The sequence below is a fragment of the Homo sapiens genome, chromosome 7 (assembly GCF_000001405.40).
Source record: "Homo sapiens chromosome 7, GRCh38.p14 Primary Assembly".
Classification (NCBI taxonomy): Eukaryota; Metazoa; Chordata; class Mammalia; order Primates; family Hominidae; genus Homo; species Homo sapiens.
Genome location: NC_000007.14, coordinates 1167319 through 1186069, shown reverse-complemented (window position 1 = coordinate 1186069; position 18751 = coordinate 1167319). Strand labels below are relative to the sequence as shown.

Genomic DNA, 18751 nt, shown 5'->3' with positions numbered 1-18751 from the left:
AGGTGATCCGCCCACCTCGGCCTCCCAAGCAGCTGGGATTACAGGCATGAGCCACTATGCCTGGCCTCGTTCATTAAACACTTTCCATGGCAAGGCGGGGGGCTCGGGTAGGGCGATTGGCTGCAGGGCCCCCGTGGGGAGCAGGTGCTGGGTCGAGACCGGCACTCCTGGGGGCCTCTGAACTCCCCAGCAGCTCTTCACTCGGTTTCCCCGTTGCAATGATAACATCAGCTTGTGCCTGCCCCCGTCTGCCTGAAGCTTCTCCTCAGATCCTGCTGCCTGGCTCGGACCACTATGGACCCCGGGACTGACAATCTAACTGCCTCTGCTGCACCTGGCGGGGGCCCTGTAGACCCTGTCCACATACAGCCTGTGGACACCCAGTGCTCAGCCAGTCTTCCCTGCTGGGGGCTGAGGGTGGACAGAAAAGGCGGCAAGGAAAGTCCTCCACGGAGGGGGAGGGTGGACGGAAAAGGCGGCAGGGAAAGTCCACGGAGGGGCCGTGGGTGTCGGGGCCACAGCATGACCATGGAGACAGCTCGGTCCGCGTCGCCACGCTGAGAGGCGCCATCCTTTCAGGGCATGGCAGGTCGGGAGACCGAGGCAGGGGAGAGGTGCACAGCGAGGCGTTGACTCCTGAGGCCACAGTCCTCACCAGCCATTTCAATGGCAGCTGGAAAAGAAGTTCCCAGCTCTGTCCCTGGGACAGGGCTGGCCGCGTGTGTGGCACATTCTCAGTGCATGTTGCTGAACCAGGAACACGTGAATGTCAGACTCCAGTTCCACGCCTGGGCAGGTGCCCAACAGAAGGGGGTGCCTGTGGCCACCCAGAAACAGCGCTGGTCAGAGCATGATATTCATAACAGTCAAAAAATGGAAGCATCCGCCAGACTGGGCAATATAGTGAGACTCCATTGCTGCAAAAAAATAATTTTTTTTTTTTTTTGAGACGGAGTCTCGCTCTGTCACCCAGGCTGGAGAGCAAAGTGGCATGATCTTGGCTCACTACAACCTCTGCCTCCTGGGTTCAGGCAGTTCTCCTGCCTCAGCCTCCTGAGAGTAGCTGCAGGTGCCCGCCACCCCACCTGGCTAATTTTTGTATTTTTAGTAGAGATGGGGTTTGCCATGTTGGCCAGGCTGGTCTCAAACTCCTGACCTCAGGTGATCCACCTGCCTTGGCCTCCCGAAGTTGTTAGCCAGGCATGGTGGTGGGCACCTGTGGTCCCAGCTACTCAGCAGGCTGAGGTGGGAGGATCGCTTGAGCCCAGGAGGTCGAGACTGCAGTGAGCTATGATTGCACCACTGCACTCCAGCCTGGGTGACAGAGTGAGACCTTGTCTCTAGGGGAAAAAATAAAAGACAAACCAAAAAACCAAGGAAGCAGCCCAGATGCCCATCACAGAACGGGTGGGTGTGAAATGCACTCATCATGGAATACTACACGATAAGGAAGCAAGGAAAACTGCTGCACATGGCCACACAGATGAACCTCACAGAACCCGAGGCCGGGTGCGGCGGCTCACGCCTGTCATCCCAGCACTTTGGGAGGGCAAGGCAGGTGGGTCACCTGAGGTCAGGAGTTCGAGACCAGCCTGGCCAACATGGCAAAAGCCCGTGTCTACTAAAAATAGAAAAAATTAGTCTGGGCACGGTGGCTTACGCCTGTAATCCCAGCACTTTGGGAGGCCGAGGCGGGTGGATCACCAGGTCAGGAGATCGAGACCATCCTGGCTAACACGGTGAAACCCCGTCTCTACTAAAAATACAAAAAAAAAAAAAAAATTAGCTGGGCGTGGTTGTGGGTGCCTGTAGTCCCAGCTACTTGGGAGGCTGAGGCAGGAGAATGGTGTGAACCTGGGAGGCAGAGCTTGCAGTGAGCCGAGGTCGTGCCACTGCACTCCAGCCTGGGTGACAGAGCGAGACTCCGTCTGAAAAAAAAGGAATGATGCCAGGTGTGGTGGCTCACACCTGCAATTCCAACACTTAGGGAGGCCGAGGCAGGAGGATCAATTGAGCCCAGGAGTTCGAGACCAGCCTGGCCAACATGGCAAAACCCTGTCTCTACTAAAAATACTAAATTAGCCGGGCGTGGTGGCGGGCACCTGTAATCCCAGCTACTCGGGAGGCTGAGGCAGGAGAGTCATTTGAACCTGGGAGGCGGAGGTTGCAGTGAGCCGAGATCGTGCTACTGCACTCCAGCCTGGGCGACAGAGTGAGACTCTGTCTCAAAAAAAAAAAAAAAAAAAGCCTGACTCTGGGCTTTGCAATATCGCCAGGAAAGGCAGGCACTCCACACCCTGAACGGAGGTAAAGTCCTTGTGCCTCCCATGGGCCCAGCTGAGCTGGACTCAGGTTCTCATCCCTCCAGGGCGGCGTCCACTGCTGGAACAGGTGTCTTGCCTGCCTCTTGCCACTTGGTGGCAGCGTGTTGACCAAAGGAGAATTGGATCTTTTTCCCCAGTTTCCCAGGAGCAAATCACAATGGAAAACCTTCAGTGGGGAGCAGTGGCTCAAGCCTCTAATCCCAGCACTTTGGGAGGCTGAGGTGGGAGGATCGCTTGAGCCCAGGAGTTTGAGATCACCCTGAGCAACATAGAGAGACCCTGTCTCTACAAAAAAATACAAAAGAAAAACTTTGCCAGGTGTGGTGGTGTGTGTCTGTGGTCCCAGCTATGGGGGAGGCTGAGTCAGGAGGATCAGTTGAGCCCAGGAGGTGGAGGCTGCAGTGAGCTGACAGTGTATCACTGCACTCCAGCCTGGGTGACAGAGTGAGACCCTGTCTCAAAACAGAAAAGAAAAGAAAGTAAAGCTTTGTAAAGGAGGTTCTCATCCCTCCAGGACCGGGTCGGCTGCTAGAACAGGTGTCTTTCCTGCCTCTTACCACTTGGTGGCAGCGTGTTGACCGAAGGAGAATTGGATCTCGTTCCCCAGTTTCCCAGGAGCAAATCATGGCTCCTGGAGAGCAAGTCATCCAGTGCATAGGATTTATCCAGAAGGCTGCGCATCGGCAGTAGCCACGGGTCTGTGTCTGCAAGAGCAGCGCATCCGGGTGCTGAGTGCTGTGGTTCCAGGGCTCCCTGAGTCTGGGGGAGTTCGCAGCAGAGGTGATGTCTACGCTGAGCGGGGTAAGGGACGGTGTGCAGAGCTAAATGGACGCCACCCTCCCTCCAAGCCCGGTCTTACCATTGTGTTCCCCATGCAAGTAGGAAAGGGGTTCATTTCCTGCCCTAAGCAAACTTGCCCAGGCTCAATAGGAGACAGGTCTCAAACTCTGAACCCTCCAAATATTCCGAGCATGGCTTCTGTTTTTAGCCAAATGCATTCACTCATTCAGAAAATACTTATTCATTTATTTAATTTATTTTTTAGAGAGTGTTTGTTTGTTTGTTTGTTTGTTTGTTTTTGAGATAGAGTTTTGCTCTTGTCTCCCAGGCTGAAGTGCAATGGCATGATCTTGGCTCACTGCAACCTCCGCCTCCTGGGTTCAAGCAATTCTCCTGCCTCAGCCTCCCAAGTAGCTGGGATTACAGGCGCCCGCCACCATGCCTGGCTAATTTTTGTATTTTTAGTAGAGATGGGGCGTCACCATGTTGCCCAGGCTGGTCTCGAACTCCTGGCCTCAGGTGATCCACCCGCCTCAGCCTCCCAAAGTGCTGGGATTACAGGCATGAGCCACCACACCTGGCCTTGTGGTTTCAATTTGAGTTTCTCTGATGATTAGTGATGCTGAGCATCATTCATATACCTTTTGGCCATTTGTTTGCCTTCTTTTGAAAAATGTCTCTTCATATCCCTTGCCCACTTTGCCCCTCCCGGTTTCAAGTGATTCTCCTGCCTCAGCCTCCCGAGTAGCTGAGACTGCAGGTACGCACTACCACACCTGGCTAATTTTTGTATTTTTAGTAGAGACGGGGTTTCACCATGTTGCCCAGCCCAGTCTTGAATTCCTGACCTCAGGTGATCCACCTGCCTCGGCTTCCCAAAGTGCTGGGATTACAGGCATGAGCCACCGCACCCGGCCTGTCTTTAATTTCAAATGCTGTGTGTCACCGATGTATAGGAAAGCAACTGACTTTTGTTTCATAACCTTGTACCCTACATTTGCTCATGAGTTCCAAAAATTGTGTTTTTCTTTTCTTTTCCTTTTTGGATTCTGTAGGATTTTCTGCAATCACGTCATTTGTGAACAAAGAAGTTTTATTTCTTCCTTCCCAATCTGTATACTGGTGATTTCCTTTTCCGGTCTTTTTGCTCTAGCGGGGACTCCCAGTTTGAGGCCTGATGGGGTGGTGGGAGGGGACGTTCCTGCCTCTTCCTGATCGTGGCTCCCTTCAGTTCCGCCTGCTGGGCCCTGAGTTGCTCCGGGAACCGCTGAGCACTGGCTCTGTAAGCCTCGGGCCCCCATACCGCTTTCCTTCGGGCCCTGCCCTACCTGCCTGCCTGCCTCCAGGCCCCACAGCCCCGTGGAGCCGCCCAGTTGAGCAGTCCTGCCCCCTCCCTGCCACGCCCCCTCGGGGGTCCTCACTGCTCCCAGATGAAAGCCCCTGTTGTCCCCAGAGGCTCTGTCTCCTTGGGGGACGTTCACCAGCTGCCTCTCAAAGGACCGCCTGAGACCAGACACTTCCGTGGCCTACGGCTTCCTCAAGGACTCTACAAGACACAGAAATCCCTGCTGTCTCCACTGAAAAGAAAGGGTGAGGAGGGTCATTTCGACATCATGTCGGAGCCGTTCCTCACTGCCCCGGCTTCCTGTGTGACCAGGTGTTGGTGAAACGAGATTAATCCACCACTCACACGCATAGGAATCCGTGACCAGGCCCCCCGCCGTGCTGGGCTGAGTGGACGGCACGGGAGACGACCCACGGACCGTTCTCGCTTTGCCTCCAGTGTCGTTCAAAGGGCACCTGCCTGAAGGAGACGTGGGGCTTTGGAGGTGCGGGATTTCTTCTTACCTCTGTTCCCACTACTTACCTTCAGAATAAATCTCTAAGTCCGGTATTAGCAAATTCTTCACAGATGTAGGCCACACAAAGCACCCTCATTGTCTGTCATAAATATAATATCTTTTAAAATCTCCAACGCGACGCACGGGCCTGTTTCTTCTCATAAATCTAGGCTGCCTGTCTCTGATCAAATTCTGCTTTTCCAGCAGTTTTACAGCTAAGTCCTCCCACATAATTTGTAATCGTTTCTTTACAAAGGACATTAAGCTAACCGTGATCCGGTGCTGAATTATGTAGCATTTACCACGCTCCTGTTTTTAGATTCCTTATCCCTTTCTAGTGGATTCTAAAAATATCAGTTAAGCCACCAACTAATTTCTAATCCTTGCTTCTATTAATATTGACCGTTCGTCTCTTAGCCTTTGTCCTTGCTTGATTAAGGAATTCAAATCTTTTCCTGAAAATGTGATTGTTGACAATATGACCGCCTCTGGCTAGAGCACCAGGCAGGAAGGGATTCTGGCTCGCGGGGGTCCGGAGACCAGCTTAGCCACAGAAAGCCCTTCAGGTAACTCGGAGTGTTCTCTCCCCGTCTCACTCTCTCGTTAGGCAAGAAACCAACAGTATCTTAACATATAGATTAAATTTTAAATTCTCCATTATCAGCACCCTGCACGGTGAGACAGGCCTCCAGATTTTGAGGTTGGCTTAAAAGGCCTCCCAACCGTGAGGCGGCCCGGGTGGACCACTTAACCTCGAGCCGCATCTGTCAACGCAGACAGCTTCTCTGATGAGTGAGATTCGGCTGAGATCTGAAGCGGGTAGTGGGTGCTGGAGTCCACCATCCAGAGCCCTGCAAAACGGAGGTGCTTATTCCCCTAGCTGCCTGTCTCTGCAAGGGAACTTCCCTCCGCCAAAGGGGCCTCCGCACCCAGGGTCTCACGGAATCATTACGAGATGCAGGGACGATGCCCAGCCCCTTGGCCTCAATTTGGGACTATGGTGAAGGGACATCCCAGCTCCAGAGCCCCTGGGTGCCCTCAGGATGCCACTGGATTGTGTTCCTTTTTTGAGACAGAGTCTCACTCTGTCGCCCAGGCTGGAGTTCAGTGGCGCGATCTCAACTCACAGCAACCTCTGCCTCCTGGGTTCAAGTGATTCTCCTGCCTCAGCCTCCCAAGTAGCTGGGATTATAGGTGCACACCACCAAGACCAGCTAATTTTTTTTTTGTATTTTTAGTACAGACGGGGTTTTGCCATGTTGGCTAGGCTGATCTCGAACTGCTGACCTCAGGTGATCTGTCCACCTTGGCCTCCCAAAGTGCTGGGATTACAGGTGTGAGCTACCATGCCCGGCCCACTGGATTGCATTTCAGCTTCACCCTCTGCCCCCCAGCTTCCTGCAGGGCCTTCCAGGTGCTGTCCTCGAATGCACCCCTCAGTAGGCCCCTGCACGCGATGATCCGTCTGAGTCTGTTTCCAGGGAACCCAACCTACAGCAGTCAGTGCCAGGAGCGGTCCCAGCAAGTACACTCTGCAGGGGAGGCTTAGAGCCGGGCCCCTGCCAGCCAGTATCAAGGCTGGCCACCAGCACCCATCACCAGTGGTTGTGGATTACATTCTGATAACCCCTAGCAGGTGCAGGGAAACCATTTTTAAGGCTTTTAATAACATCTGACTTCAAGACTTAACATGAAGCTACAATAATCAAGACAGTGATATCGGTGAAAGAACACAAATAGATCAATGGAACAGAAGGGAGAGCACAGAAATTGGCCACACGAATACCGTCCGCCGAGCCTTGACAAAGGAGCAAAGGAAACGTAATGAAGGAAGAATCGTCTTTTCAACACATGGTGCTGGGACAAGTGAACATGCATATACAAAAAGAAAAAAAAAAGAATCTAGGCCAGCCTCGGTGGCTCACGCCTGTGATCCCAGCACTGTGGGAGGCTGAGGCAGGAGGATCACTTGAGGTCAGGAGTTCAAGACCAGCCTGGGCAACACAGTGATACCCAATCTCTACAAAAAAAGTTTTTTTTAATTAGCCGGGCATGGTGGCGTGTACCTGTAGTCCCAGCTACTTGGGAGGCTGAGGCAGGAGAATCGCTTGAACCCAGGAGGTGGATGTTGCAGTGAGCCAAGATCGTGCCACTGCACTCCAGCCTGGGTGACGGTGTGAGACTTCATCTCAAAATTAAATTAAATTAAATTAAGTATATATGTGTGTATATATATACATATACATATATATAGACACAGGCTTTACACCTTTCACAAAAATTAACTCAAAAATGGATCATTACTTAAAATCACTTGATTATAAAATGCAAAGCTATAAAACTTCCGGAAGATTACATAGGAGAAAATCAAGGTAACCCTGGGTTTGGCAATGAGTTTTTATCATCTTTATTATTATTATTTGAGATGGAGTCTTGCTACATTACCCAGGCTGTTCTCCAACTCCTGGACTCAAGCAATCCTCCCTCCTCAGCCTCCCCAGTGGCTGGGACTGCAGGCACACGCCACCACGCCTGGCTTGGCAATGAATTTTTAGATACCACACCAAAAACATAATCTATAAAAGATTGATAAGTTGGACCTTATAAAGGGTATCAGATGCCAAAGAAGATATACAGAGGGCAAATAAGTATATGGAAAGATGCTCAACATCTTATGTCTTTAGGGAACTGCCAATGAAAACGACAATGTAGAAACCACCACACCGCTGTTAGAATGACCAAAATCCAGACACCGACATCACCAAATGCTGGTGAGGACGTGGAGCAACAGGAATTCTCATCATGGCTGTGAGAATGACACTTGGGTGTTTTCTTACGGATCTAAACATATTCTTGCCATCAGATCCGGCAATTGTGCCTCTTAGAATCTACCCAAATGAGTTGAAAACATATATTCACACAAAAACCTGCATGTGAATGTTTGTAGCAGTTTTATTCACCATTGTTCAAATTTGGAAGCAACCAAGGTGACCTTCAAGAGGGAAATGTTGAATGGATAAGCAAAGTGTGGCCCATCCGTCTGGGGAAATATTATCTGACAATAAAAAGAAATGAGGCCGGGTGCAGTGGCTCACACCTGTAACCCCAGCACTTTGTTAGACCAAGGCAGGTGGATCACATGAGGTTGGGAGTTCGAGACCAGTCTGGCCAATATGGTGAAACCCCATCTCTACTAAAAATACAAAAAATTAGCGGCGTGGTAGTGGGCACCTGTAATCTCAGCTACTTGGGAGACTGAGGCAGGAGAGTTGTTTGAACCTGGGAGGCAGAGGTTGCAGTGAGCCCAGATTGCACCCTGGTCACACCACTGCACCACTCCAGCCTGGCCTCGAAACAGTGAGACTCCGTCTCAAAAAAAAAAAAAAAAAGAAAAGAAAAGAAAAAGAAAAGAAATGATCTGGCTGGGTGCAGTGGCTCACACCTGTAATCCCAGCACTTTGGGAGGCTGAGGCAGGAGGATCATTTGAGCCCAGGAGTTCAAGACCAGCCTGGGCAACATAGCAAGACCCCATCTCTACAAAAACTAAAAAACAAAATTGGCTGGGCACGGTGGGGTGCACCTGTAATCCCAGCTACTCAGGAAGCAGAAGCAGGAGGGTCGTTTAAGGCCAGGAGTTCGAGGCTGCAGTGAGCTGTGATGATACCACTGCATTCCAGCCTGGGCAACAGAGCAAGATCCTGTCTCTAAAATTTAAAATTTTAAAAAAGAAGGCTCCAGGAAGTGGGCATCTAACAGGGAGATACCACATAAAGCTGGAAAGGGATGCTGGACACTTCAGGGACGGCTGGACGGGCGTCTAGGCTGCGGTTGATGCTCAGGGAGGAAAGCTTCCTCGTGCCCGGTAGGTCTTCTGGTCCCGACCAGCCGTCATTCCCGCAAACACCGCTGGAGGGCGCGCGTGGTAACTGGAAAACGCCCACATGGGTTCCTCGGTGTGACGAGCTGTAATGATGCCACTGCACTCCAGCCTGGGCAACAGAGCAAGATCCTGTCTCTACCATAAGAAAAAATTTAAAAAAAGAAGGCTCCGAGAAGTGGGCAGTTAACAGGGAGATACCACATACAGCGGGAAAACACAATAAAACCAAAACGCCAGCCAACCACGTTGCACAGGAGGGCCCAGGGGAATGCAACCTGGTATCAACAAGGAATGGGCTGGCCGGGGGCACCGGTGCTGTCAAGGGGCTCAGGAGTGTCTGTCCTCTGTAAGCCAGAGCAGACGATACAAGACGTGGTTCTAGAAAGGTTTCCCTAGTAGCAATGAAAATCATGGGACCCCAGAATAATTGGGGTCAGGTGGTAGTGCTGACTCATCAGAAGCCAGGTGGGTGGAATCCTTGCGAGGGCAGCAGGCTGAGTGGTGACGGGGAAGCGGGAGCTGCAGACGGCTATGAAGATGGTTCATAAAACGTGGTATTCCTAGGGGACAGACAGACAGCCAACAAGAATATTACTTAAAGATCGAACCAAGAGAAGTCAACAATGGATACCAGAGGGCGGCGGGAAGCCACTGCAAGGCAACGTCTCGGTGCTTTGCTTGGCTTCCTGACCTGAGCCAGCCTTTGACCTGTGACTCAGTGCCTGCAGGAAGACCTCCCCGAACCACAGCGCGTGCAAGCTGTCACGATGCGCCTGGGCCTTGCACGAGAGGACCCTACAGCCTCCCTCGAAGGAGATGCCGGACACTTCAGGGACGGCTGGACGGGGGTCTACGCTGCCGTTAATGCTTAGGGAGGAAACGCTCATGGTGCCCAGTGGGTCTTCTGGTCCCGACCAGCCGTCATTCCCGCAACCACCACTGGAGGGCGCGCGTGGTACCTGGAAAACGCCCACATGGGTTTCTCGGTGTCCCGGAAGCTGTCCTGGCGGACACGGCCACGCAGAAGCCTCTGAAACTGCAGCCCCTGCTGCCCCGGCTCCCCTTGCAAGATAAGAAATCAAAGCAATGATGTGTTCCTGGGAGACGGGCAGGGCTTTGAGCCAGCTGTAAAGATCCAGAGGTCCCCATCCCATGCCCGTTTAAATAATTATTCTGGCCCCTGCAAAAAAGCAAGACCAGTCATGAAATACGACCGAGGATGGTGCAGACCTCACCAAGTCAAAGCCCGAAACGGCTACAGGCACGGCGTCTTCCCCGGAGCAGGCACACGGCCTCAGGGATGCGACGTTGGCCGCTGAGCTGGAAAGGGCCTTTTCCCATCCCTGTCAGTACGGAGATCAGAAGCAGTTCCTGTTCACACGGAAGGACAAAAGCATGCGTTTAAAATTTTGTCCCGGCCGGGCGTGGTGGCTCACACCTGGAATCCCAGTGCTTTGGGAGGCCAAGGCGGGTGGATCGCTTGAACACAGGAGTTCAAGACCAGCCTGACCAACATGGCGAAACCCCATCTCTACAAAAACAATGACAGAAATTAGCTGGGCATGGTGGCTCACACCTGCTGACCCTCATGGCACTAGGGGTAGCTGGGGTGGGAAAAGACGTGTGTGGAATTCATGACAGCCCGACCAGAGAACACACTGTATTCCCAAGGCTCCACAGCAAGGCCAGGTGTCCCCTGCCCCATGTCCCCTGCAGCAGGGAACCGTCTGGCCCTGGCGGAGACGGAACAGGGCACTATCTGGCCAGGGGGCATGAAGCAACTATGTGGCAAGAGCTTCCCTTCTGAGCTGGACCCCGTCAGATCCAACAAGTCACAGGCCAGGCAGCCCAGCCGCAGGGCTCCGAGTGGAAGGGTCCATGGGACAGGCCCAAGCAGGTCCGAGTGCGGGGGGGACACCACCCTCCACTGCCACGCCAGTACCTTCTGCCCGTTCCCACCTGCGGTCATGGGAGGGGAACTTGGTGACCAGCAGACGGAGGAAGAACAGAGCCGCCCTTGGTTCGCAAGTGGGTTGGCTCAGTACTGAGCACCCACTGAAAGTGGATTGTTGCCACGTTACAGGCCCACTCAGAGGTGGCCCTGAAAGACACTGTGGACAGAAATCTCCGGGCCAGAGCCTCAGGCCACGCATCTGGCCGTCCACTCCTCTGTGTAGGAAGAACAGTGGCCCACGGTAAGAACACACACAGCCCACGGGCGGTGGCGGGTGGCGTGGCTCTTTTGTCAGGGGCCTGGAAGTGAGGTGGGAGCGGGGACTTGACTCCAGAGGCGGGGCTTGGACATTAGACCTAATTGAGGACTAGCTGAAACAGGGACAAGGCCCAGACGCGGCCGCTCACGCCTGTAATCTCAGCACTTTGGGAGGCCAAGGCAGGTGGGTCACCTGAGGTCAGGAGTTCGAGACCAGCCTGGCCAACGTGGTGAGACTCCGTCTCTACTAAAAATACAAAAATTAGCCAGGTGTGGTGACATGTGCCTGTAATCCCAGCTACTCAGGAGGCTGAGGCAGGAGAATCACTTGAACCCAGGAGGCGGAGGTTACAGTGAGCCGAGATTGTGCCACTGCCCTTCAGCCTGGGTGACAGAGCAAGACTGTTTCAAAAAAAAAAATTAATTTAAATTAAAAAAAATAAATTGGTGTGTGGAGTGGGGGTGCTCTCACCTCACTCTATTCACTGCATCTCCTGGCTGACACGCGTCCAGTCCAGCTAAAATCAGTACTTCCTAATGATAGCAGCCTGGTCTCCCCGTGCGCCCCTTACTTACGACACCCCAGAGAGCTGAGTAACTGCCAATTATTATTGCGGGGAAGGAGGTAAGAAACCTTAACTGTGTTCTATACCTTTACCCTGAAAGAGACTGTCAGGGAAAATGGGAAGGGATGGGGTCCTGTGCCTGTGGGACTCAATTTTAATGCTTGTGTGGATGTGGCACATCGGGCCCATCTCCCCCCCGGGTTCCTGGCCCTGGATGGATGGGGCTGGGGAAGCTTAGCGCTGCTTATCGAGCTCTGCTGCGGAAGCTGCAGCCACATAATTACTCATTTGCCTTGTTTGTGCCTGTCTTCACGGCACACTCTTCCCCTGGTTCTAGGGTCTGGTCACGTTTGCGAGTCTGTGTCGCTGGGTTCTTTATGTGCCCACTTAGCCACCCTGGCACCTGCCATCCTCTTTCCTGCTTAAACCTAACAGGAATGGATTTCCATCACGGGCGTTTCTAATGTGCTCTGAGCAAGCTTCTGGGAGGCGCCGAGACGTGCAGAGTGGATGGCTACTGATGTGGCAGGAGGAGGGGAAGCAGGAGGCACACTGGGGCCTATGTGTCCTTAGAGAAGAGACGGGGTTTACCGGGTGAGGTGGCTCACGCCTGCAATCCCAGCACTTTGGGAGGCCAAGGTGGGTGGATCACCCGAGGTCAGGAGTTCAAGACCAGCCTGGCCAACATGGCAAAACCCCGTCTCTACTAAAAATACAAAAATTAGCTGGGTGTGGTGGCAGATGCCTGTAATCCCAGCTACTCGGGAAGCTGAGGCAGGATAATCACTTGAACCCGGGAGGCGGAGGTTGCAGTGAGCTGAGATGACACCACTGCACTCCAGCCTGGGCGACAAGAGTGAGACTCCGTCTCAAAAAAACAAAAAAAAGAGAAGAGACAGGATTGAGCCCCATGTGTGAGAGCCAAGGATAGAGGAGATGGCGGCCTCAAGGCTGCCATGCAGTGGGCAACAGTGTGCTGTGACTGTGTGGATCCAGGGGACGGAATCTTCCACCCCCAGCTACCTGGACCATGCCATCCGAAGCCAGGGAGAATTCGGCCCCGGCAACCTGGCAGAGGGCAGCTGTCTCCTGCTGATGACGGACAGCCACAGAGTACACCCCACCCACCCTTGGGCGCCGCATGGCCAGCGGCAGCAGCTCTGTCAGATTTCATATCCGCAGTCCTCCATTGCGTTGCACTCGTGACTCAATGTTCAAAAGCTTTCGGCCAGCTCCATTCTGCCCTCTCTGGGATAATATAACAATCAGAGAAAAGGAGTTTGGCCTGCACGGGAGGCCCCAAGAGGAGCCGGGTTCAGGCCACGTGGCTTCCAGCGCCTGCGTCCGCTTGCCCATCAAAGAAAGGGTACAAAAGTGGGAGAGTCTGTGGTTTCCTCATCAGCTTAGACCAAAGCCGTGACAGGGGAGAACCCCAAACTGCTAATTAAATCCATTCAGTTTTGGGGGTGGGGGAAGAGTAAACTCCTTCTCTGTGAGCACCAGGCAGTGGGTTCTGATTCCCACGCAGGCCAGCCTGGTGCTGTGGGTGAGGGCAGCTACTGCTGGCTCCTGCCCCAGTCTCCTGCCAGCTGCTCAGACCCGGAATGTCAGGGACCTGGCACCCGCCACCCCGGGCTAGCACTGTCCTACACCCTAACACAGAATCCAGCCACCTAGCTGCCTGAACTCCAGCCAAGAGGGACCAGAGAGGACGGAAAGGCCGTCGGTACCTGGGCTTTGTCTACCTCGCCCCTAGATGACCACCTGAGTGAGTGGGAGGGGCTGGATGAGGAGCAGGGCCCCTCCCCGGGGGCAACAACCACCTGAGAGAGCGGGGATGGCCTGGACAGAGGGGGGGAACCCTCCGGGGGGTGATGAGCACCTGAGTGAGTGGGGAGGGGCTGGACAGGAGCGCAAAGCCTCCTGGAGGTGATGGACACCTGAGAGAGTGGGTAGAGGCTGGACAGGAGCAGTGGGGCCTCCTGGGGGTGATGAGCACCTGAGTGAGTAGGGGGAAGCTGGGCAGGGAGGGGGGCCCTCCTGGGGGTGATGAGCACCTGAGTGAGTGGGCAGGGGCTGGACAGGAGCGCAAAGCCTCCTGGAAGTGATGGACACCTGAGAGAGTGGGTAGAGGCTGGACAGGAGCAGTGGAGCCTCCTGGGGGTGATGAGCACCTGAGTGAGTGGGCAGGGGCTGGACAGGAGCGGCGGGGCCTCCTGGTAAGGTCCGTTGTGCTTTGCTTTCTGCCTGGCCTCAGCAGAAGAGTTTGGTAATTGATTGCTATAATGGTGGCTGTTTTTAGAGTTTCTGTTGCTGGCAAAAAAGGACACAGGGACCCTTTTCAAAGAATATTCCAGGGAGTAGCGGGAGCTTCGGGGATGCAGGGACATAGTGTGTCCGGAGGTGGTTCCTGCTGGTGGGTTCGTTGTCTCCCTGACTTCGATAATGGAGCTAGGGACCTTCGCGGTGAGTGTTAACAGCTCTTAAAGATGGCACGGACCCAAAAAGTGAACAGTAGCAAGGTTTATTGTGAAGAGAGAAAGGATAAAGCTTTCACAGCATAGACGAGGACCCGAACACGTTGCCACTGCTGGCTAGAGGTGGGGGGGGGGGGCGGGGGTGGTTGGTGGCAGCCAGCTTTTATTCCCTTATTGGCCCCGCCCATGTTCCATTTCTGTCCTATCAGAGTGCCCTTTTTTCAATCCTCTCTGCGATTGACTACTTTTAGAATCCTGCTGATTGGTGCATTTTACAGAGCACTGATTGGTGCATTTTACAGAGCACTGATTGGTGCATTTTACAGAGCACTGATTGGTGCATTTTACAGAGTGCTGATTGGTGCATTTTACAGAGCGCTGATTGGTGCATTTTTACAGAGTGCTGATTGGTGCATTTTACAGAGCACTGATTGGTGCATTTTACAGAGTGCTGATTGGTGCATTTTACAGAGTGCTGATTGGTGCATTTTACAGAGCGCTGATTGGTGCATTTTACAATCCTCTTGCTAGATAGAAAAGTTGTCCCAGTCCCCACTTGACCCAGGAAGTCCAGGTGGCTTCACTTTTCAATAGGGCTGCCTGGGAGGCCGAAGCCTGCCACCTGCTGTCTCCCTCCCGAGGACGCAGCCCACCCTTCCCTCCAGGTGGAATTCCCTAGGACACAGCCCACCCTTCCCTCCAGGTGGAATTCCCTAGACCTAATCACAGCATCCTGGAAGGGCCAACCCCCGACGGCTCAGATTGGCGTGGGGCGTGACTGGTCCAGAAGGAACAAAGCGTGAATACATCAAATCCCAGGAGACTAACGGAGTTCCCCTGGGGAAACTCGAGGGTCTGACGCTTCGCTCGGATTTCAGATTCACAAAGACCATCAAGCACTTTCAGGTTCCTCAAAGATCCCAGGGGTCAGCTGCTCGTCGTGCTGACTTCGGGCCTGGGCTGAGCTCTCCCTCTGCTGGTAAAACCCTTCCTCACCCTGCACAGAGGTCAGAGCCCTGTGTTTCCCAGGGACCCCCTGGTCCCCTTTCCAGCCACGGGCAGGGTCCCCGCAGGTCCAGCCGGCCGCATACTTGCCCCCACAGCCTCTGTGTGCCTCCAGCACTGTCTTCGTCACTCGGCCTGTCCATGCTGGTGCTACTTTGGGTTGAGCTGTCTTGAAAAAATATATACATTGGCCGGGCACAGTGGCTCACGCTTGTAATCCCAGCACTTTGGGAGGCTGAGGCGGATGGATCACATCGTCAGGAGTTCGAGACCAGCCTGGCCAATGTGGTGAAAGTCTGTCTCTACTAAAAATACAAAAATTAGCCGGGCATGGTGGCGTGCACCTCTAGTCCCAGCTACTTGGGAGGCTGAGGCAGGAGAATCGCTTGAACCTGGGAGGAGGAGGTTGCAGTGAGCCGAGATCGTGCCACTGCACTCCAGCCTGGCAACAGAGGGACACTCTGTCTCCAAAAAAAAAAAAAGAAAAAAAAAGAAAAGAAAAAAAAGTATATATATATATATATATATATATATATATATATATATACACATATATATATACACACACACATACATTTGCATTCTCCATGCAGCTTACAAGCTGAAATCATGCTTTCCCCAGCTGCACCCCGCAAAGGATCTCGTGTGAACCAGGTCTTCAACAGCTCCCTACAGCTTGGGTGGGAAGGCTTCGATGTCTCCCAGGGTTAAATCGAGCAAGGAACAGCCTAAGGGCCGCAGTCCACGCCACCAGCAGGTGTGGCAGCCAGACGGGAAATTAACTTCCTGTCTGTTTCAAACTAAAATTTGTGGAAGAAAGAAACAATGTTGCAGTCCTAGCCAACGCGCATCCATTAAAATAAGGGACAAACCCAGCGGCCAAGCAGCGGAGGGGCTGACTCCACGAAGACCCGCTGCTGCCGCCAGGGGGAGCTGCCAGGGTGCAGGGCGGAGATTGGAGGGGTTGCAAGGGGGCGTGGCCGGGAGGGAACATGGCGGCACAGAGGAGGAAGGGGGTGGCCCTTATTCAGAACCCCTCAGGAAACAGAACAAAGTCGAAACAACCCGCTGACTCCGCATTGTTGGTACTGCGTGCAGGACTAGGCTTTCTGCCCCGCGTTCTCGGGAACAGACGCCTGGGGATCCCGAGGCCACAGGGGCTCAGATCAGAGTAGCGTTGTAAAATCAGGAATGACTTAAAAACTGTTTCTTTTTGTAGAGACAGGGTCTTGCTATGTTGCCCAGGCCGTTTTTGAACTCCTGGCCTCAAGGGATCCACCCGGCTCGGCCTCTCAAAGCGCTGGGATTACAGGCATGAGGCATGGCGCCCGGCCCAAGGATGGCATTTCTGATGCAAAAATACCATGAGTGACATAGCCTGAGTGTGGTCATTGCTAATGTGGGAGGAAAATACGGAGAGGAGGTGTCTCTGCAGCCGAGGAAGAGCGTGTTGTCAAGAGGTAGGAGGGCAACCCGCCATGGCTGGTGAGAGCCAGGCTGAAGTGTCTGTTGGACTTAGCAGGTGGGAGGCCGGTTCGCCTTCAGGACGTCCCGGAGGTGGTGGCAGAAGTCGGGGGAAATGGGCTGAAGGAAGGATGGATAGAGGTAGGAGAAGCTCGCATGCCTAAAGATGATGAATGTGTTCACCCGTCCAGCCTGGCAGACAGGTGACTCCCCACTGCCCGCTCCCCATGACACCCTCTCTTCTGCTTGGACACAGTGGATTCTACTTTTGCAATTATAATTCACAGCCTCAGCAAATATTTGTAAGAAGTGCACAGCAAAGATAAGAAAGATGAAGGTGGGTCCTGTTTTTTCCCCAGAGCTTACTGTCTTCTTGTTCTCAGACAGAAAAAAGGGCTGGGCGCGGTGGCTCACACCTGTAATCCCAGCACTTTGGGAGGCCAAGGCGGGCGGATCACCTGAGGCCAGGAGTTCCAAACCAGGCTGGCCAACATGGTGAAACCCCATCTTTACTAAAAATACAAAAATTAGCTAGGTGTGGTGGCAGCGCCTGTAGTTCCAGCTACTCAGGAGGCTGAGGCAGGAGAATCGCTTGAACCTGGGAGGTGGAGGTTGTGGTGAGCCAAGATCGCGCCACTGCACTCGAGCCTGGGGGACAAAAGTGAAACTCTTGTCTCAAAAAAAAAAAAAAAAAAAGCAAAACAAAGAAAATCCACGTCCTGAAACAACTGGACAATAAATGTAAACGTTGCGTTTATGAGGGTGAGGCAGAGGCTGCCATCATTTTTGGAATTCAGGGAGTGAAAATTTCCCAGCGCACACCTGAAGCAGCTGGGCTGGCGTGTCTGGGAGTTTCACAGTGGAGGATGGCCCCAAGCGCCTTTGAACACAGGGAACGGGATGGGGTGGGGACACCCAGGGAGACTGCTGAAGCCAAAGTTGTGTGTCGGCCAGGACTTCTGATTGCATGTGGCAAGAACCCAACTCAAAATAGGTTCTGTGAAAACGGGAGTTTATGGGCTCCTAAATTTTAGATGTGCCCGGATCCAGGAACTCAAGTGTGGTTCTTGATGCCTTTCCCTGAGAGCCGGCCCCTCTCCCCTGACTGCAGAGCAGCCCCTCGGGGTAGCCAGGAAGCAGCTACCGTCAACGCAGCTACTCATGGGCAGCACCTGAGGGTCTCCCTGCAAGCCTGCATCAGAATCCACGCATGAACTAAGAGGAGTTTTTTTGTTTGTTTTTGAGACAGTCTCACTCTTGCCCAGGCTGGAGTGCTGTGGCACGATCTGGTCTCACTGCAACCTCCGCTTCCCGGGTTCAAGTGATTCTCGTGCCTCAGCCTCCCGAGTAGCTGGGATTACAGGTGCCACCACCACGCCTGACTGATTTTTGTATTTTTAGTAGAGACGGGGTTTCACCATGTTGGGCAGGCTGGCCTCGAACTCCTGACCTCAAGTGATCCACCTGCCTCAGCCTCCCACAGTGCTGGGATTACAGGCATGAGCCACCACGCCCAGCCTGGATGATTTTCTTGACCTCGTTTAGGGTGACTTCACATGACACTAATGGAGACATTTCTGAGACTGAAAATGGGGTGCTCTGAATAATTTTGCTAGAACAGTTAACATAACCTGGGACTCTTCTGGGAAAAGCAGGACATAACGTCACTGTCACTGTTAAGTGGACACTGAGGGATGACCCACCAGAGCCACATAAAATTGGGGAGAGGTATCACTCCAAAGGGGTGGTCCTGGCCGGGCACGGTGGCTCATGCCTGTAATCTCAGCACCTTGGGAGGCCAAGGTGGGAAAATCGCTTGAGGCCAGGAGTTCTAGACCAGCCTGGTCAACATAGCAAGACCCAATCTGTATTAAAAAAAAAAAAAAAAAGGCTGGGCGCAGTGGGTCACACCTGTAACCCCAGCACTTTGGGAGGCCGAGGTGGTCGGATCTCTTGAGGCCAGGAGTTCGAGCCCAGCCTGGCCAAAATGGCAAAACCCTGTCTCTACCAAAAACACAAAAATTAGCTGAACGTGGTGGTGGGTGCTTGTAATTCCAGCTACTCGGGAGGCTGAGGCAGGAGAATTGCTTGAACCTGGGAGATGGAAGTTGCAGTGAGCCAAGATCGCACCATTGCACTCCTGGGCGATAGAGGAAGACCCTGTCTCCAAAAAAAAAAAAAAAAAAAAAAAAAAAACTCAC

At 53.2% G+C, this 18751-nt stretch overlaps 5 annotated features.

Moving 5' to 3' along the window:
* Positions 4076-5275: an enhancer, noted in NCBI's record as "CDK7 strongly-dependent group 2 enhancer chr7:1220431-1221630 (GRCh37/hg19 assembly coordinates)". NCBI's record gives its function as "activates an origin of replication core promoter dependent on BRD2, BRD4, P300/CBP, MED14 and CDK7 cofactors, with strong dependence on CDK7, by STARR-seq in HCT116 cells {active_cell/tissue: HCT116}" and the evidence as "EXISTENCE:reporter gene assay evidence [ECO:0000049][PMID:35650434]".
* Positions 8857-8906: a silencer, noted in NCBI's record as "silent region_17848". NCBI's record gives its function as "represses an Ori minimal core promoter by ATAC-STARR-seq in GM12878 lymphoblastoid cells {active_cell/tissue: GM12878}" and the evidence as "EXISTENCE:reporter gene assay evidence [ECO:0000049][PMID:35858748]".
* Positions 14672-15645: an enhancer, noted in NCBI's record as "H3K4me1 hESC enhancer chr7:1210061-1211034 (GRCh37/hg19 assembly coordinates)". NCBI's record gives its function as "activates a minimal SCP1, AML or CMV promoter by ChIP-STARR-seq in primed H9 embryonic stem cells {active_cell/tissue: H9 hESC(primed)}" and the evidence as "EXISTENCE:reporter gene assay evidence [ECO:0000049][PMID:30033119]".
* Positions 15646-16621: an enhancer, noted in NCBI's record as "H3K4me1 hESC enhancer chr7:1209085-1210060 (GRCh37/hg19 assembly coordinates)". NCBI's record gives its function as "activates a minimal SCP1, AML or CMV promoter by ChIP-STARR-seq in naive and primed H9 embryonic stem cells {active_cell/tissue: H9 hESC(naive and primed)}" and the evidence as "EXISTENCE:reporter gene assay evidence [ECO:0000049][PMID:30033119]".
* Positions 15695-16084: an enhancer, noted in NCBI's record as "active region_25489". NCBI's record gives its function as "activates an Ori minimal core promoter by ATAC-STARR-seq in GM12878 lymphoblastoid cells {active_cell/tissue: GM12878}" and the evidence as "EXISTENCE:reporter gene assay evidence [ECO:0000049][PMID:35858748]".